Source organism: Homo sapiens, chromosome 6 (assembly GCF_000001405.40).
Source record: "Homo sapiens chromosome 6, GRCh38.p14 Primary Assembly".
Classification (NCBI taxonomy): domain Eukaryota; kingdom Metazoa; phylum Chordata; class Mammalia; order Primates; family Hominidae; genus Homo; species Homo sapiens.
Window position 1 is genome coordinate 131,045,879 of NC_000006.12, and position 17,168 is coordinate 131,063,046.

At 41.0% G+C, this 17,168-nt stretch overlaps 1 protein-coding gene across 16 annotated transcripts in view, besides 1 other annotated feature; it reads right to left on the reverse strand.

Moving 5' to 3' along the window:
* Positions 1-17,168, reverse strand: part of EPB41L2 (erythrocyte membrane protein band 4.1 like 2) — a 223,899-nt gene that overhangs the window by 206,532 nt on the left and 199 nt on the right. The gene's annotated exons all lie outside the window — the stretch shown is intronic.
* Positions 16,824-16,923: a silencer, noted in NCBI's record as "silent region_17542". NCBI's record gives its function as "represses an Ori minimal core promoter by ATAC-STARR-seq in GM12878 lymphoblastoid cells {active_cell/tissue: GM12878}" and the evidence as "EXISTENCE:reporter gene assay evidence [ECO:0000049][PMID:35858748]".

Sequence of the window (17,168 nt, forward strand, 5' to 3'; positions counted from 1 at the left end):
GATATAAAGATACCATGAAAACTTTATCAAATGTTTTGCCAAGATCTACGCCTATATTTTTCTTTCTCTCTTTTTTTTTTTTTTTTGAGATAGTGTGTGACTCTGTCACCAAGGCTGGAGTGCAGTGGCAAGATCATAGCTCACTGTAGCCTCCATCTCTGGAGTTCAAGGGATCCTCCCGCCTCAGTCTCCGAAGCTAATTTTTTTTTTTTTTTTTTTTTTAGTAGAGACATGGTTTCACTATGTTGCCCAGGCCAGTCTCAACCTCCTGACTGAAGCAATCCTCCTGCCTCAGCCTCCCAAAGTGCTAGGATTACAGATACGAGCCACTATGCCCTGGCTCTTTCCTTCTTAAAGAAAGGACACTTTAAATCACTTTCTCCACACACAGAGATGAATGAGCAACAGACATATAAGTTAGGATTTATTTCAGGGTACCTGAACCACCTAAGAGAAAACAGACACACAAAGCAACATCACTTGACCACCGTCACACTTAACTAATGAGTGTACTGGGACTTGAGGCTAGAACAATTGTCTTTCTATCCTCTGCTCCTTTCAGAAACAAAAGGGAAAAAACAGTATTAAATACCTCATTTGTTGAAATTCCGGTCACTACAGATTCAGGATAAACACCTACAAAAGTCTATACTCAGCAGTACTGACCAACAATAGCCCAATATTCCAATAACACACCTGCCATTTCAAGGTACTCAAGTGGAGACAAATTTTCACCTTTCGATGCTACTGTGAACGACAGGCTTCAACAGCTCCTTTTTAACCTGTCAACATTCCAGATAGACTCAACATTCCATTTCTTTTTTAAGGGGGAAGAAGGAAGATGGTAAGGTGGAGGTTATCACCTTATCCTCTACGTGCTTCCATTTTCCCGCTTCCCCTTTATAACTAAAGCTGGTAAAGGAACATGAGTAGAATCTCATCAGTGCTTTCTAGTTTCTGCATGAAAACTATCCCCTAATGATTAAATTATACCCTAATGCAATAGTGTAGTATTGGCTCTGATTCAAGATAGTTACCCGTGGGGAGGGGAATGCAAATAGGATCGGGGTTTGACGTCGTTTACATATTCTTAGGGATAATATAAGACAGTAGTTATGGCTATAGGCTCTGGAACTAGACAGCCTGGGTTCAAACCGCTGCTCCACCATTAATTGGCTGAGTGACCCTGAGCAAGTTACTTCAAACTGCAGTGCCTCAGTTTTCTTATAGGATACTTAGGATAATAGTACCTACCACAAAGAGTTACTACAAGAATTAAATAAATAAATAAATGTAAAAGTGCTTATAGATAACCAGCATGGTGGCACACACCTCTAGTCCCAGGTACTCAGGAAACTGAGACAGAAGGATCACTTGAGCCCAGGAGTTCAAGGCTGTAGTATGCAATGATCACATCTGTGAGTACCCAGTGTACTCCGGCCCAGACAACACAGCAAGACCCCATCTCTAAAAAAAATATTTAAAAATAAAAGTGCCTATAGAACAGTGTCTGACATATATTAAGTACTCAAAACATGGTGCTTATTGTTATCAATATTTTATAATTCAATGTCTTTGCAAGGAAATTATATTAAATAATTACATCTTAATTGAAAGTACAAATTAATATATAAAATAAACTATCTCCAACATAAAAATCCTGCCTGTTATTTAGGAAAAGCACTTCGACCATTAAGTGATTGTCAGCTACAGCTATAATGCCAACAATTTACACAACGATTTCTAAATTAGTGTATCATCAATGTTTAAGGCATGTACCTTCCCCTCGATACTGCCAGACAGAACCATATACAAACAGGTTGCTTTGATTTTTATAACTGTATAGTCCCATTAAAATTCAGTCAGCTAAAAAAGAATATTTTGCTTGGTCTAGTTCCAACATATTGCCTCTAAACTACGTTAGGCAAAAGAAGGGAAGAAAGAAGGCAGGGTGGGAGGAAGAAAAGAAAAAAGAAAAATCGGCTGGGCGCGGTGGCTCATGCCTGTAATCCCAGCACTTGGGAGGCCAAGGCAGGTGGATCACGAGGTCAGGAGTTCAAAATCAGCCTGGCCAAGATGGTGAAACCCTGTCTCTACTAAAAATACAAAAATAAGCCAGGCATAGTGGCGGGTACATGTAATCCCAGCTACTCAGGAGGCTGAGGCAGAGAACTGCTTGAATCTGTGGGGCAGAGGTTGCAGTGAGCCGAGATCGCGCCACTGTACCTCAGGCCTGGGCGACAGAGCAAGACTCTGTCTCAAAAAAAAAAAAAAAAAAAGAAAAAAAGAAAAGAAAAATCTAAAAACAATAAAATCTAACATAAACATAAGCAGGATTCATAGGAAAAAAAATTATACAACATCAACTTTAACATTACCTTGAGAACATACTAGAATTTGAATATCAGTTCAGATTTGGTTTAGAAATTGTTGGGGTTTTTGTTGTATTTTTTGTTTTATGTTCCTTGTTTTTAGCACTGGTTAAAGCATTCTCTATGTCCACAATGCTACATTTAGGTGAAACTGCTTTTACTGACTAAAACAATATTCAGATATTTATTCCAAAAACATCACAACAGTATGTCACAAATGATCTATTTTCTGTTATTCCACAAAATCCGTAATAAATATGAGCTTTATTTGGGAGACCAAGAAGTACATGCCAAGAAAAGGGGAGCAGGGGAATCTCACTTATTCACAAATAAAATTATATGATGTCTGGAGTTTGCTTCAAAATAAAGATGAGAGTGGGTCAGGGAGTCAAAGGGAAATACAGATGAAACAAGACTGGTCATGTGACTGGTAACTGTTGAAGCCAGGCGAGGATACGCGAGGTTCATTATACTACTATTCTCTACTTCTGAATATATTGAAAATTTTCCATAGTAAAAAGTTTAAAAAAGAAGAACACTTTTCTGTAACTGATAATGGTACATTCTTTCTTCCAAAAACACTTCGATAATCAGATACTACATGGCTTTAAAAAAACCTAACCAAACATGGCTTTAAAAAACCTAACCAGAAAAAAAAAAGTCCTTAAAAAAATGCCACATTATCCTTCACTGCTATTATGTGTTCTACACAGAGCAAGTAACACATAAATCATAGATCTATAGACTATTCTAGAATCTACCCTCTTTCGATTTAAGCTTGCAGCACTGAAGATGAAGGTAAAATGACCTCAATTGGTAGGAGCCACATCTGCACCACATATGCAGCCCACATCCACAGCTCTTCATTGCAGAGCTGCAAAAGTTTAGAATATCTTCAACGTACCTTTATTTTCCTCCTGTTTTCGGGCAGAGGGAGGTGGGGGAAGACGAATGTATTCACATTCCCATATGTGTATAATTTAAAACAGACAATCTTGGCATTAAGGAAATTAAGATGTAGGCTTTACTGATGTTGATTTCAATGGCCAAGATCCAGAAACAGTTCTAGTTACAAGTTCATGGATAAATTTGATTTCTTTGCAGTGGACAGACCCAACTCAGTACTTGACATTCTGACCTTTCCCATACACAACTTTCACCCACTTTATTAAGGAAAAAAAGTTTTCCTTTTTCTCTTTAAGAGAAGTGGATTAAAGAAAATTTTCCAAAGAAGATGTTCATTTAGTAGCTTTTCTACCAGAGTGTAGACACTTAGTAGCTTTTCTACCAGAGTCTAGAAGCAACTAAACAGAGTACTGGGAAACAGTAAAAGATTATCATAATAAAAATGGTCCCCAAAAGCGAAGGCTGAATATGAACCATTGTCTAGCGTATAACCACTGCCACATTTGCTTTTCAAATACTTGTGGAGGCATTTGGCATCATTTTCCAATAATCCCATAGGACTTTTACTTGTTTTTTCAGTAGTATTTCAAAATGTTGACACATTTATTGAACTATTTTTGGAAGACTGAGCTCTGTCTACCTTCAGGGCTCAAGACACAAATATATAAAAGCTACAGGACATCTCTTTAGCTACAAAACTTGGCAGACTTCCTGAGTTTTCCAAGAAAACTTCAACTGGCAAAAGTGCACAGTATAGAGGGAACAACTCTGGACACAAGAGACCTTGGCTGTGCCTGAAGCTCCATTAGTAACTGCTCCAGGACTTTGGTTAAGTTTAAACTCTTCGCTCTTCTTACTTGTCAGACCCGTGGTACAAAATTGTTTTAAAAATCAAATGGGGACCGGGTGCGGTGGCTCACACCTGTAATCCCAGCACTTTGGGAGGTCAAGGAGGGCAGATCACCTGAGGTCAGGAGTTTGAGACCAGCCTGGCCAACATGGCAAAACCCCATCTCTACTAAAAACACAAAAATTAGCTGGGCGTGGTGGCGGGCACCTGTAATCTCAGCTACTCAGGAGGCTAAGGCAGGAAAATCGCTTGAACCCGGGAGGCAGAGGTTGCAGTGAGCCAAGATTGCGCCATTGCACCCCAGCCTGGGCAACAGAGCGAGACTCTGTCTCCAAAAAAAAATGAAAGACTCAAATCATTTAGTATACCAACATACTCTGGGGAAATACTTTCCTTATTTATTCCCTGCAACATCTTCTATATTAATGCATAATAGATTTGAATGTCTAAATCTCTAAAACCCACTGGGCAACCAACTTAACTAACACTGATCACATAACAGGCATTAGATCATCCTGTCATTTCCTCAGACCTCACAGTCACTACTGACTCACTACAATATTCAGAACCTTCCTTTTTGTTTTACCATCCCTAAAACCCACACTCGAAAATCCCTAACATCCATACCTTCACATTAATGTAAATCCCTAATTATGTCCCACCTAGTAATGAAATTTTCACCCTTACAATATTTAACAGAACCTGCATATGTTCAAAACTTACTCTAATCCCCAAATCATATTCAAACAATATTCTTTTATTTATTTAATAGAGATGGGGTTTCCCCATGTTGCCCAGGCTGGTCTTGAATTCCTGAGCTTAAATGATCTGTCCGCCTTGGCCTCCCAAAGTGCTGGGATTACAGGCATGAGCCATCGTGCCTGGTCCAAAGAATATTCAAGTATATGTGTGACAACAATATGTCTGTCTAAAGACAGACAAACCAAGATACTCAATAAATCTAAACTAATGCTGTCACCTCTGATACATAACAAAAACAAATTTGGTGAGTATGTATTGTTAAGTCTAGTTCAAGTATATAATATTTCTAAGAGTTTATAATGAACTCCTTGAAAGACCACAGGAAAAAAATATAATACATTTACTGAACTTTTCCTAGGAAGTAGCTTCTTGACCAATAACATATCAGTCATCCACTCCCAGGCACCCTAGATGTTCACTCAATCACCTGACTTTTCTACCTCCCTCTATATAAATGAAGTTCAACCCAGCAGCTGGCATGGGGAAACAAGTATAATTTTATTATGGCTGCAGTCCTTACCAAATGTGAGTACCGTGGCAATCTTGTGGAATTTTGTTTTTAATCAATTTAAATTCCAAAATCCAATATATTTAACATGAGCTAATTTCTGTTTCCTCCCACAACCACACTAAAATGAAGTGAGAAAAGTTTTCTTACAAGGAACAAATTCACAAAAGTAAAGCAAAAAAAAAAAAAACACACACACACACACACACAACAGCAACAATGGGAGGGGTCAGGCCAGCAGATATGTCAACAAAATTTTAGAAGATGGAAAGCAGATGTACAAAGTAACTGACTTAGCAGAGCAGAGGAAGCAGAAAACTGTTACTGTTTTGGTGGGGGGCCTACGAGAAACAAGTTGATTGTTGGAAAAGCCCTGAGAGCCTGAAGAATTGGAGGTTCCAGATATCTTTGAGGACTGAGGTGAGAGAAAGAGCATCCTTCAAATGGCTTCAAAAGATGCCTTCAAAATTTGAAGGGAAGGTAATCACTAACAGAATTCTATATACAACCAAACTATAAGAGCAACCAAACTGAGAGTGGAGAAAGACATTTTAAGACATGCAAGCCTCAAGAAACTCACCTGCCATTTACACTTTTTTGGGCAAATACTAGAAGTCTTCATTAAGGAAATTAGGATGTAGCCTGTGCTGTGTTGATTTTTTTTTTCTTTTTTTTTTTGAGACGGAGTCTTACTCTGTCACCCAGGCTGGAGTGCAGTGGCATGATCTCGGCTCACTGCAACCTCCACCTCCTGGGTTCAAGCAATTCTCCTGCCTCAGCCTGCCAAGTAGCTGGGACTACAGGCGCCCACCACCACACCCAGCTGATTTTTATATTTTTAGTACAGATGGGGTTTTGCCATGTTGGCCAGGCTGGTCTCAAACTCCTGACCTCAGGCAATCCAACTGCCTCAGCCTCCCGAAGTGCTAAGATTACAGGCATGAGCCACTGCACCCAGCCACTGATGTTGATTTTAATGGCCAAGATCCAAAAACAGTTCTGGTTACAAGTTCATGGATAAACTCCTAACTTTTTGTCAATGAACCAAGATAGAAATATAGAGCCCAGAAAAAGAGGCGAAGGAATTCCCTGCACACAGTTATATAGCAATTCTAGAAATAAAACCAGTCCAGGATGATGGAGGGCCCAGCCAGGAAGGATAGCTTTAACAAAAAAAGAAAACGGAACCAAAAGATTATATCATGTTTGATCCTACTGGCAAGAATTTCACAGTTTCTAACATAGTTTAAAGCTGAACCAAGGATGGGTGCAAAGAAAACGAATAAGGAAAAGGATAAGGATCAGGATAACTTCAGGATAAAACATAAAGTTGTAAAAGAAAGTACATGTAATCAAAGCACTTTACATGACTTAGCTTTTGTATATATAAGTTGGAAATTGGAAGAGAGGAGAAAATGGGAAGAGGGAGTTAGTAAGGAAGCTAACTAGAGGTAGAAAGTCAAACAGGTATTACATTTAAAATGTAAAAATCAAGAAACAGGAGTAAGCAGACCTCAGCAAGGTGGCAGAATAGGCTTTTCTAGTGCTTCTCTGCCCCACTCGCCCTGCTAACCTCACCCCCTACAGAAACATCAATTTGAACAACTATCTACACACAAAAATATAAATTTTTTTTTTTGAGGAGTTTCGCTCTTGTTGCCCAGGCTGGAGTGCTATGGTGCGATCTTGGCTCACTGAAACTTCCACCTCCTGGGTTCAAGCGATTCTCCTTGTCTCCGCCTCCTGAGCAGCTGGGATTACAGGCATGCACCACCACGCCTGGCTAATTTTGTATTTTTAGTAGAGATGGGGTTTCACCATGTTGGCTAGGCTGGTCTCAAACTCCTGACCTCAGGTGATCTGCCCGCCTCGGCCTCCCAAAGTGCTGGGATTACAGGCATGAATCACCGTGCCCAGCAAGTAAATTTTAACAAATAATAAAACATAAAAATATTCTGAAACTTTAAAAAAAAAATCAAGAAACAAGAAAATCATGTTATTTAGAGACAAAACACCAGAAAATAAAACCAAAACTAGTGAAAGTAGTTGTGGCAGACTGTCACGGTTACTACTTGAGACCATCACTACAACAGTTACTACTGTTACTACTTGAGACCCTCATTAGGAGACGGGACGAAGGGACGAACATGGAAATGATAAAAAAAAAAAAAAAAAAAAAAAAAGAAACTGTTTTAAAGGAAAGGCCAGGGGAAGAAAAGCTCCCTGCTTCTAGTCAGCAAAGGCAGCCCCCCTGAGCTCCACAGCCCTTCGTATTTATTGGGTAACAAGAACAGGGAGGAGGAGGTAGCAACTGGTCAGCTGCTTAACTGATCGCAGGTTCATATTGTTACTAACAGGCTTCAGATGTACCTAATCACAAGAAACACTGCACTTGGGGCGTGACTGCCTTCAGCATTCCTTCTGGGTGGCATACACAGTTTGTCAGTTTGCCAACATTCTACATTTATGAGAAACATTTTGTTGCTTACTCATATAGCCTCCAGTGGTATACTGAGTTGATCATAACCCTCATTCTTTCGACCTCCAACGTTTCTCCCTTTTTGTTTTTTAATTAATTGAGAAAGGCAACTACAGGCTGTGCAGCCCTTAATTGCCAGTTGGTGGTCCAGCTGATCTTACAACGGGAGGCACAGGAAACCATGGCCAGCATGGCCACAAACATGGAGTCAGGGGTCTTTGCCTGACCCTGACACTAACAGTGTCTCAGCTTCCTGTGTGGTTTTCTTGATCTATCCCCATGTCATGAGGGTTGATGTCAGTGTGACTCCGGTCGGTCCTCATTCCATCTTCGCATTCAGATTCAACTGGCTCATGGCTCGTATTAGGGGAACAAGGCCTGTAGCTAGAATCCATGGATCTCTCCAGTCTTCCATTCCATGGTCGCACACACCTTGAGGGCACCCACACAGTTTGTTCATCTCCTTATGTTGTCAAGCAGACTTGTAACGGGGTTTCTCATTTGTCTGGTTGGTTTTAGTTTTTTCTGTTCCAGCAGAACTTCCTCATTCAAGTCCCTATAGGACCCTGTCTCTATCTGTCCCTGTCTGTCCCTGCAAGTTTCTGCTAGCTTCTGCTGGTCTCTGCTAGTCTTTGCTAGTCTCTGCTAGTATTTGCTAGTCTTTATCTATCCCTGTCTGTCCCTGTCTGTCTCTACGGTCCCTGTTAGTTCCTCCAAGTTGGTGCAAGTCCCTATCTTTCCCTATCTGTCTCTATCTCTATTTATCCCTACTTATCTCTATGTGTCCCTGTAGGCCTCCTCAGGTCCCTTCAGGTCTCTTCAGGTCTCTGTTTGTCACTGATAGTCCCTGTTCGGGCGCCACTTGTGGCACATTGCCACAGTTACTACTTGAGACCTTCACTACAACAGTTACTACTGTTACTACTTGAGACCGTCATTACGAGACTGAAGGAAGGGACAAACATGGAAATAACAAAAAAACAAAAGGAACTGTTTTAAAGGAAGGGCCAGGGGAAGAAGAAAAGAGCTCCCTGCTTCTAGTGAGCAAAGGCAGCCCCTGAGCTTCCACAGCCCTTCATATTTATTGGGTAACAAGAGCAGGGAGAAGGAGGTAAGGATTGGTCAGCTGCTTAATTGATCACAGGTTCATATTGTTACTAACAGGCTTCAGATGTACCTAATCACAAGAAACACTGTGCTTTGGGCATGACTGCCTTCAGCATTCCTTCTGGGTGGCATACGCAGTCTGTCAGTTTGCCAACATTCTGCATTTATGAAAAACAGTTTGCTGCTTACTCATATAACCTCCAGTGGTATACTGAGTTGATCATGACCCTCATTCTTTTGGCCTCCAACAAGTAGTTGCCTCAGGGGAGCAGAAATCTGTCAAGAAGGGAGCTAGGGCACTGGTCTGCTGCTTTTTTTCATAATCCCTGCAGTACTACCTGACTTTCTAAATCATATAAAGCACCCTGGAGAATGCCATTTGCACTTTAAATGAAAGCAAAAAGTGCAAAACCACAGGAAAGGCAGAAACTAAAGGTCGGGGGAGAGCCACATTTTATTCTGATGTGTTTTATCCTCTGGTATATTTTTCTAATATTGAAAAATCAGGCTAGAAACATTACTTTAAATGTCTCTAGTCTGAAAAACAAGATGAAGGGTACTCCCTGTTCCAGCATGATTCAAGAATCACACAACTAAAAGTAGTACTCAGGTCTGCTTCATAATCATACCTTTACACAAAAAACTACATGGGCGAACCCAGTCAGGAAAGCAATCCTGTCTTTTATAAAAGTTAGATACTGCAGATGCCAACAAATTGCAAAAAACTTCAACTTCTACTGAGTAATAACATCGAACAATTAAAAGCAATAACTGGAACTCACAGAAAAAACAAGGGTTTTAGCCATACACAAGCTGGGTGCCCTTGAGCCATTTATTCAATTTTTAAGCCTCAGTTTCTCATCCGTAAAATAAGCACACCAGCTACTCCAAGATGGTGCTGCAAAAAAGAAGCAGGGTTATTAACATATGTAAAGTACCAATTATAGCACCTGGTGTGTAGTCTGTGCTGCAAAACCATTAGCTTCCTTATTTTTTTTTTACATGGTTATTGATTATCAAAGCTTCAGGCCTTACAGGATTACTTACAATGGAACCTAGAACAAAGCTAGAACTGAGCATAAAATGCGTGCGTCAGGGACAGGTTAAGCAAAGCAGCTGATGCGTGACAGCACCAGAAGCAATAGACACAATAGACCCAGTGGACCCAGTGGACCAAGTGCTACACCATCATCTAATTTTTCTAGCCTAAAATAAGGATATTTATATGAAACCTGATTTCTTAATGTTGGCAACTAACAAGTTAAAACACGATGTTGCTGGAAAATATGTGTGCAGGTATATTTCACACAAAGATTTATAAAGGTTACATTTTAATGCCATATGCAGAGGTTTAAACATTGTCAACAAAAATTCTACTCACTAATAGGCTTTTTTCAACAAGTTTACTGTGGTTATAGAGAGAAGAAGTTAGAACATATGCACACAATTTTACATTTATAATCAGTTACCTCTGGCAACATAACAAAAAAGACTACATTATCCCTGTGCTGTTGAAACTAGATCCCAACTGTTTTCCCATATATATGCTCTTTTGTAAATTAACAAAAAGAATGAAGTTAAGACAAGAGTTTCTAAAAGCTCAAACATTATAGATACTGGACTGAAATTGTTAAAAAGTGGTTTTAACTTGTGATCACCATAGGAAATTACTGTTTCATTTCAAAGACTGTACTTCCACACAGATAATTATTCCTGACCACTGCAAAAAATCTGCTTACCACATATTCACCAGTAACCAACCCACTAGGTCTCTTCTTAACCTAACAATTTTTACAGATGCCAGGCACTCTATGAAGCATTTTATAAGCATTAGTTCATTTAATCCTCATGTAACTCTGAGGTAGGTATGATTTTTAACCCCTTACTACAGCAAACGAGGCTTTGAGAAATAATTTGCCCAAGGTCACAATGGCATATGTGGCAGTCTAACCAGCATCAAATAGAGTGGACATGTTACTGATTCCTTCTAATCAATATTCCATCAAAGAAATTTGTAAGGAAATAAATGCACATTCATTAAGTTCACAGGTAAGAATATGAGTGGCCAGGATTATATCAGAATTCAGTTTAACCTTGACAGTTAGGTAAATGGGGGTCAACTAAATGAATTCAATTGAATGGAAAGAAGTACAATGGGAGATAGGGGAGAATAAATGATGAAAAGTGCAATAGGGTGAAAAAATTAAAAAAAAAGAGAAAAACAAAATACTCTTAAAACTTCCATCTTCTAATCTCGAAAATAAGAACTGAAACATCAGTTCTCAATCTTTTCTGTTTCCCAAAACCCTTTCAAAAACCACTCCTAAAGTTCTCTTTCTCCCTTAACCTGTCTCTCTCATCCACTTGTGCACACACACACAGAGATGCTGCACACACACAGGAGTGCATGCACATGGGAACACAATACCTCACTTACAGTCTCAGGCAGTTTATGCACCCATGAGGCCCAAGAACCCCACTCTCCACCCCAGGTCAGGAGTCTGAACCAAATAATCTCCCTCAAGGTAAATGAATCTAGGGTGAAAAACAAGTAGCTTCTGGACAAAAAGAGAAAGAAACAAAGAATTATGGCAGAGTGTAAATCACATTTTAATTTTATGTCTTCAAGCTACTGGGATATGTACATATATCAGTAGAATGTAGGAAACTCTGAAAAATATGAGTGAATTCAGCACTGTTGTTATAATGGCCCAGCCCTGAAGCTCATCAGCAGGTCTGGAAACGTAAATACAAGGGCTTGGAAAAGGTGACTTCAGAGTTGGTAATCAGAACTATATGACAAGCTTTTTAAAACCACAATTATCCTGGAAAAAGGCAACTGAAGGGTAACATAAGTTTTTAAGTATTTGAAAATTCTTTCATGAAGGTTGATGGTGAGGCCCTAAGAGCAAAGCAAGAGGAAACTGGTCTCTTCAGAAAGATTTGATTTAAATGCATGAACTACCCTACCTGACCTAGGCAATAAGGTCCGATAGATGAACAGTGACAAAACCACTTTGGGAGCCTTTCCATGCCTCCTAACCTGGAAAGAACTAAAATGATCCCCATGATGCCGAACTTAGTTATCTATGCAAAATTTCAACTTGGCTATCTAAAGCAAAACCTTATTTAAGATACAGGTCAGATCTCAGGAAAGATTGTTCTTATCCTTCAATTTATTCCAGATTATTTGGGAGACAATCTATGTACTTTTTGACTTTATGGCTCTAATAAGGTAGAGTGAAAATATGCAAAATTCAGAGAGGTATCTGTGAAGTGAAAACATGTTTCCATTTTAAAGATAACTGAGAATATGAAATTAGCTCAATTGCAATCTTTGAAGAAAAAATATCCAGAAGCAGTATGAATGCACTCATAGATCACATGAAATCTATTCCAATGCCAAGAAGTAAGAGACATCACTTTAAAATAAGAAAATTCAGAAAGCCTCTGAAATTCTAATTAAAATTAATACTATCCCAACACCATGGAAATATATAGCCTATCTACTCTCCTAGACATGAAAAACATGCCTCTAAGAAACTTACAACACAGATCCCAAGCCAACCACAAAACCAGGAGAAACAATATCAGTGGTTAGAAAAGCAAATAAACATTACCGACATGATATTTCTACATGAAACATTACCCATTTCTATGTCAACTCTATCAAAGAATCTTCACTAAAGATTCTTCACCTCTAATATATTAAAGGTTCAATGAATTAATTCATCAAATATTTATTAAATACAATGAGTAGGTGCTTCACATCACAAATACCTATAATATTCCCTCTCTCATATGAAATACACACACATACACATACTTTATAGAAAAAGCTACCAAAATCTATTAGCTATAACTATAAACCGGCTGGGTGCGGTGGCTCACACCTGTAATCCCAACACTTTGGGAGGCCAAGTCGGGTGGATCACTTGAGGTCAGGAGTTCAAGAACAGCCTGGTCAACATGGTGAAACCCTGTCTCTACTAAAAATACAAAAATTAGCCGGGCATGGTGGCACACGCCTGTAATTCCAGCTACTTGGAAGGCTGAAGCACGAGAATTACTTGAACTGGGAAGACGGAGGTTGCAGTGAGCCAAGATCACGTCACTGCACTCCAGCCTGAACGACAGAGTGAAACTGTGTCTCAAAAACAAAATAAAAACAACAACAGCAACAAAAACTATAAATCATTTCTAGATGATAACTGAGATTATTTATTTCTTTCCTTCTTGGCTTACCTATAACTTTTTTTTTTTTTTTTTTGAGATGGAGTCTGGCTCTGTCACCCAGGCTGGCGTGCAGTGGCGCAATCTCCGCTCACAGCAAGCTCTGCCTCCCGGGTTCACGCCATTCTCCTGCCTCAGCCTCCCGAGTAGCTGGGACTACAGATGCCTGCCACCACGCCTGGCTAATTTTCTGTATTTTTAGTAGAGACGGGGTTTCACCGTGTTAGCCAGGATGGTCTCGATCTCCTGACCTCATGATCCACCCGCCTCAGCCTCCCAAAGAGGTGGGATTACAGGCGTGAGCCATCGCGCCCAGCTATAATTCCTAAACAACTCTAATAGCTAACTTGGAGGCCATTTCCCTATAGTTAATGACATCAGGCATTGACTCCATTTTAGATTTTAGTCTAGGGCACTGCCCACGCAGAGAAATGATACAAATCTCATAATATCAAGTTGCTGGTTTATGCCAAAACATGGCATCCCAAAGGATGTTCTGTCTAGAATTGGTGACAGAATCGCATACAAATCTTCTATTTGCTCAGACATTCCAAAGACATTAGAACTGTTTGCATGTTGAGAGGAAGAGACTAGGGCTAAGAGTGGATCTGCTGACTCCTAACGGTTCAGCCCTGAGATTCCAAGATTCTATAAAAGAGCAGTGAATTAGGGTTTGGCTATTATTTGCTGACTACGAAAGCCAGCATAAACATTTACTTCAGGCTTTGAAATCTGTAAGGGTACCCAGTGGTTAGGTACAGTAATTCTGAATCTGAAAAAAACAAGCCCACTGGAAATGTTTCTAAATAAAGGTGGGATGGAGGAGGTAGGCACATTTCTTTTGTTTTCTCCAAGTAAACAGCACAGATTTTAGAAATGCAAAATGTGACTCAGTGGTATTGATCCCTATAAACTGTTTATTTGCCTTATAAAACTAGTAGCAATTCACACTTTTCAATAAAAAGCCCACACATAGCTTTTAAACAGGCTACTTCAGTTCAAAAAAGAAAGAAAAAGGCCCATGTCTTCAGCTGGGATTACAGGCGTGCGCCACCATGCCCGGCTAATTTTTGTATTTTTAGTAGAGACAGAGTAGAAACAGAAACAAAACAAAACCTTCAAAAATATTTAGCATTCTGCTATATAAAATATAAACCCTATATTCCTAAATGAAATGGCAAAGATACAACCTTTGTAGTTCACCAGCCACAGTAATATGAGAGGGGTGATTCAGGGCAGAACCTGATGTTAAACATAACTGTACAATATTACTAATTACAGAGAAATTGTACCAATAAATATTTTGGTTGTGGACTGCTTTGTCATCTTTGCAAGTATTTTTAGTTGAAAGCAAGTGGTTGGGTAGTACACGTGGACATGGTTCTGATTTTTAAATACCTATTTTTACATTCTGGTCACTGGTTAGGTTTTCTAAACTCAATTCCTTAGAACTAGTAATTTGGAAAGGGTAAGCCACAAGAATGTTACGTTAAGAAGCCAAGGATCTAACTAGCTCAGCAACTCAGATCAGCACAAAACTCATTTGGAAACCTCCAAGTGCTAGCATTATCTAATGATGGACCCAGGCAGTCAGTAAATCGTTAAGAACAGGTATGAAAGTGAGCAAACTGCCCTAAAGCTATCTCCTGAAAAACAGCAAGAGATATCTGAACTTCCTTCTTTTATATTTAGATGGTTATTTTTTTGGTGGCCTCTCTTCAGATTCATCCCCTAAATTAAATTTGCTTCTTTCTACTTGGACTTAAATTTCAGATTTGAAATATACACACTTAGTTGCTACAAAATGCTCCCTGGCAGTTTACATTTTTTACAAAAGTTAGGAAAAATTTTACTGAAATTATAGCTTTAACTGATTTTTTAAAATCACTTTTAATCTTTTTTAAGGATCACCATGCAACGTAGATATATGAAGAGTTCGAGGGACGTGGCTCAATTCATCCACGAATTTTCTTTCGAAGGTTTTTGCAAAAAGTGCTCTCAACTACTTGGACTAGTGGTTAAAGATTAAAGAACTGTTATGACTAAGTCTTTCTTACAGAGGGATGTTTTAAAAGGAAAGAAACCGTCCCTTCCCGTTACTCTAAATGAGCAGCCTCTTGTTCTCGGCAGTCTGTCTGCACACAAGACCACTACTGACTTCAGTGGGAATTCTGCCCAAGAAGTGAGGAAGACAGGATAGGATTAAATTAGCGCTAAATCCACACCATTGTTCCAAGCCATTACCACTTGTACAGTTCTCCAATAACCTCCAAAGAATAGATATCTGAAGTTTGATGGTGGTTCTTAAATTGAATTAAAAGAATGACCACTCGAGCTCTGACAGGTGACACAGCATAGCTCTTCAAAAGTTGTGTCAAACTCACAGCCTAACGGATGGAGCCAGTTGGCCCTTATCACAATTCAAGATTGCATTGCAATGCAGCCCCCATCAGTGGCTGCAACAGCCACCCAGTGATTTCTCACAGCAATGAGCCTGCAAAGGGAAACTGAATAGGATTAAGCACTATTCGTTCCCCCACTGAAACCTGTTCAAAGCTTGAGAATTCTAAATCCTAGCCCCTGCAGCATAGAAACTGACTCAGTTTCCCTCAACTGCTAAGTCCAAGGTGAAATCTGACAGAACACCAACTGAAATGCTAATTCTCAACAGCGTTATAAAGAGACCAGATAAATAATGTATTCCGTTGAAAAAAACAATAAAAACGTAGGGTGGGGGAGGAAATAAAGACTGAAAAACTGAGGGGAAAACCGCGAAAGTCGTTTTTTTAAAACAGCTTAAATAACAGTAACAAGAGGAACAAGACGCCTGGCACACACATGCCATTTCAGAGGCAAGAAGTTCAAGAAACTGGGGAAAGATGTGATTCAGAAAAGCGAAAATATAGCCACAGCTCCTCTAGATTCCACCTTCTCTCCCATCCACCCAGGGATCTTAAAATTAAGGGCAGCTGTGGTGTTGATGGGGCAATTCAATGAAAGACTACCCGGGTCCGTAGGGAGGGCTCCATACGCAGACCCCTCCCCAAAATAATAGACTCTAGGCAGTAGTTCTTCTCACCAAACCTCATTTTATTTATACATATATATAAAAAAAAAAACTTGACCTCAGGGGAGGTGAGCGATCTAGAGAAGCATAACTGATGTCCCACCACAGACCTCAGGCTGCTGGGGGCAGCGTCTGCGCCTGGGGATGGCGTCCCCAGACGCCGACTTCAACCCTGTCGCGCTCCTTTAGGTTCTCCTCGCCCTTCCCCGCTGCTCACCTAAAAATGCTCCCAACCCTCGGCCCCCAGGCGCAGGAGGAGAAAAAACAAGCCATCTGTGGTGAGATGGCCTGGGTGTGGGAATTGTAAGGATCGGAGCACGAAACACGCGTCCCTCTCCGCAGCTCCCAGACGGCGCAGGCGGCAGCTGGGGGCGCGGACGCGAGCCTACAGCGGGCCCGACCCGCACCGCGCGTGGGGCTGGCGCGCCGCCCTCGCCCGGCTTCCCGCAGTCCCCACGCGCGCGGCCGGCCCGCGCTTCCCCTCCTAAAACCTTCCTCCTGAAGGGCGACGCCGCGGCCGACCCCCTCCCCGCGGGGGGGATGGAGCCGGATTTTTCCCGCTGTTGCTCCACGGGGCCCGGACGCGTGACCTGAGCCCACGGCACCCCGGGGGGGACGGCGTCCTCCCCGTGCCCCCGCCTTTCCTGGCTCCGCCGGGACGCGGCCCCGGTCCCCCGGAAGAGGGAAGAGGGGGACCGCGGGGAGCAGCGAAGCCGGGATCCGGCCCGGAGCAACAGGACCCGGACCCCCGGGCAAGAATCGGGTCGGGCAGAGACCGGGAAGGAAAGGAGAGAGGGAGCCGCAGAAAATCCCAAAGCCGGGCCCCCTCTCCCCGCCCCCCATCCCGGTGGGACCGTCCCGCCACCGCTTCCTGCCCGGAATCA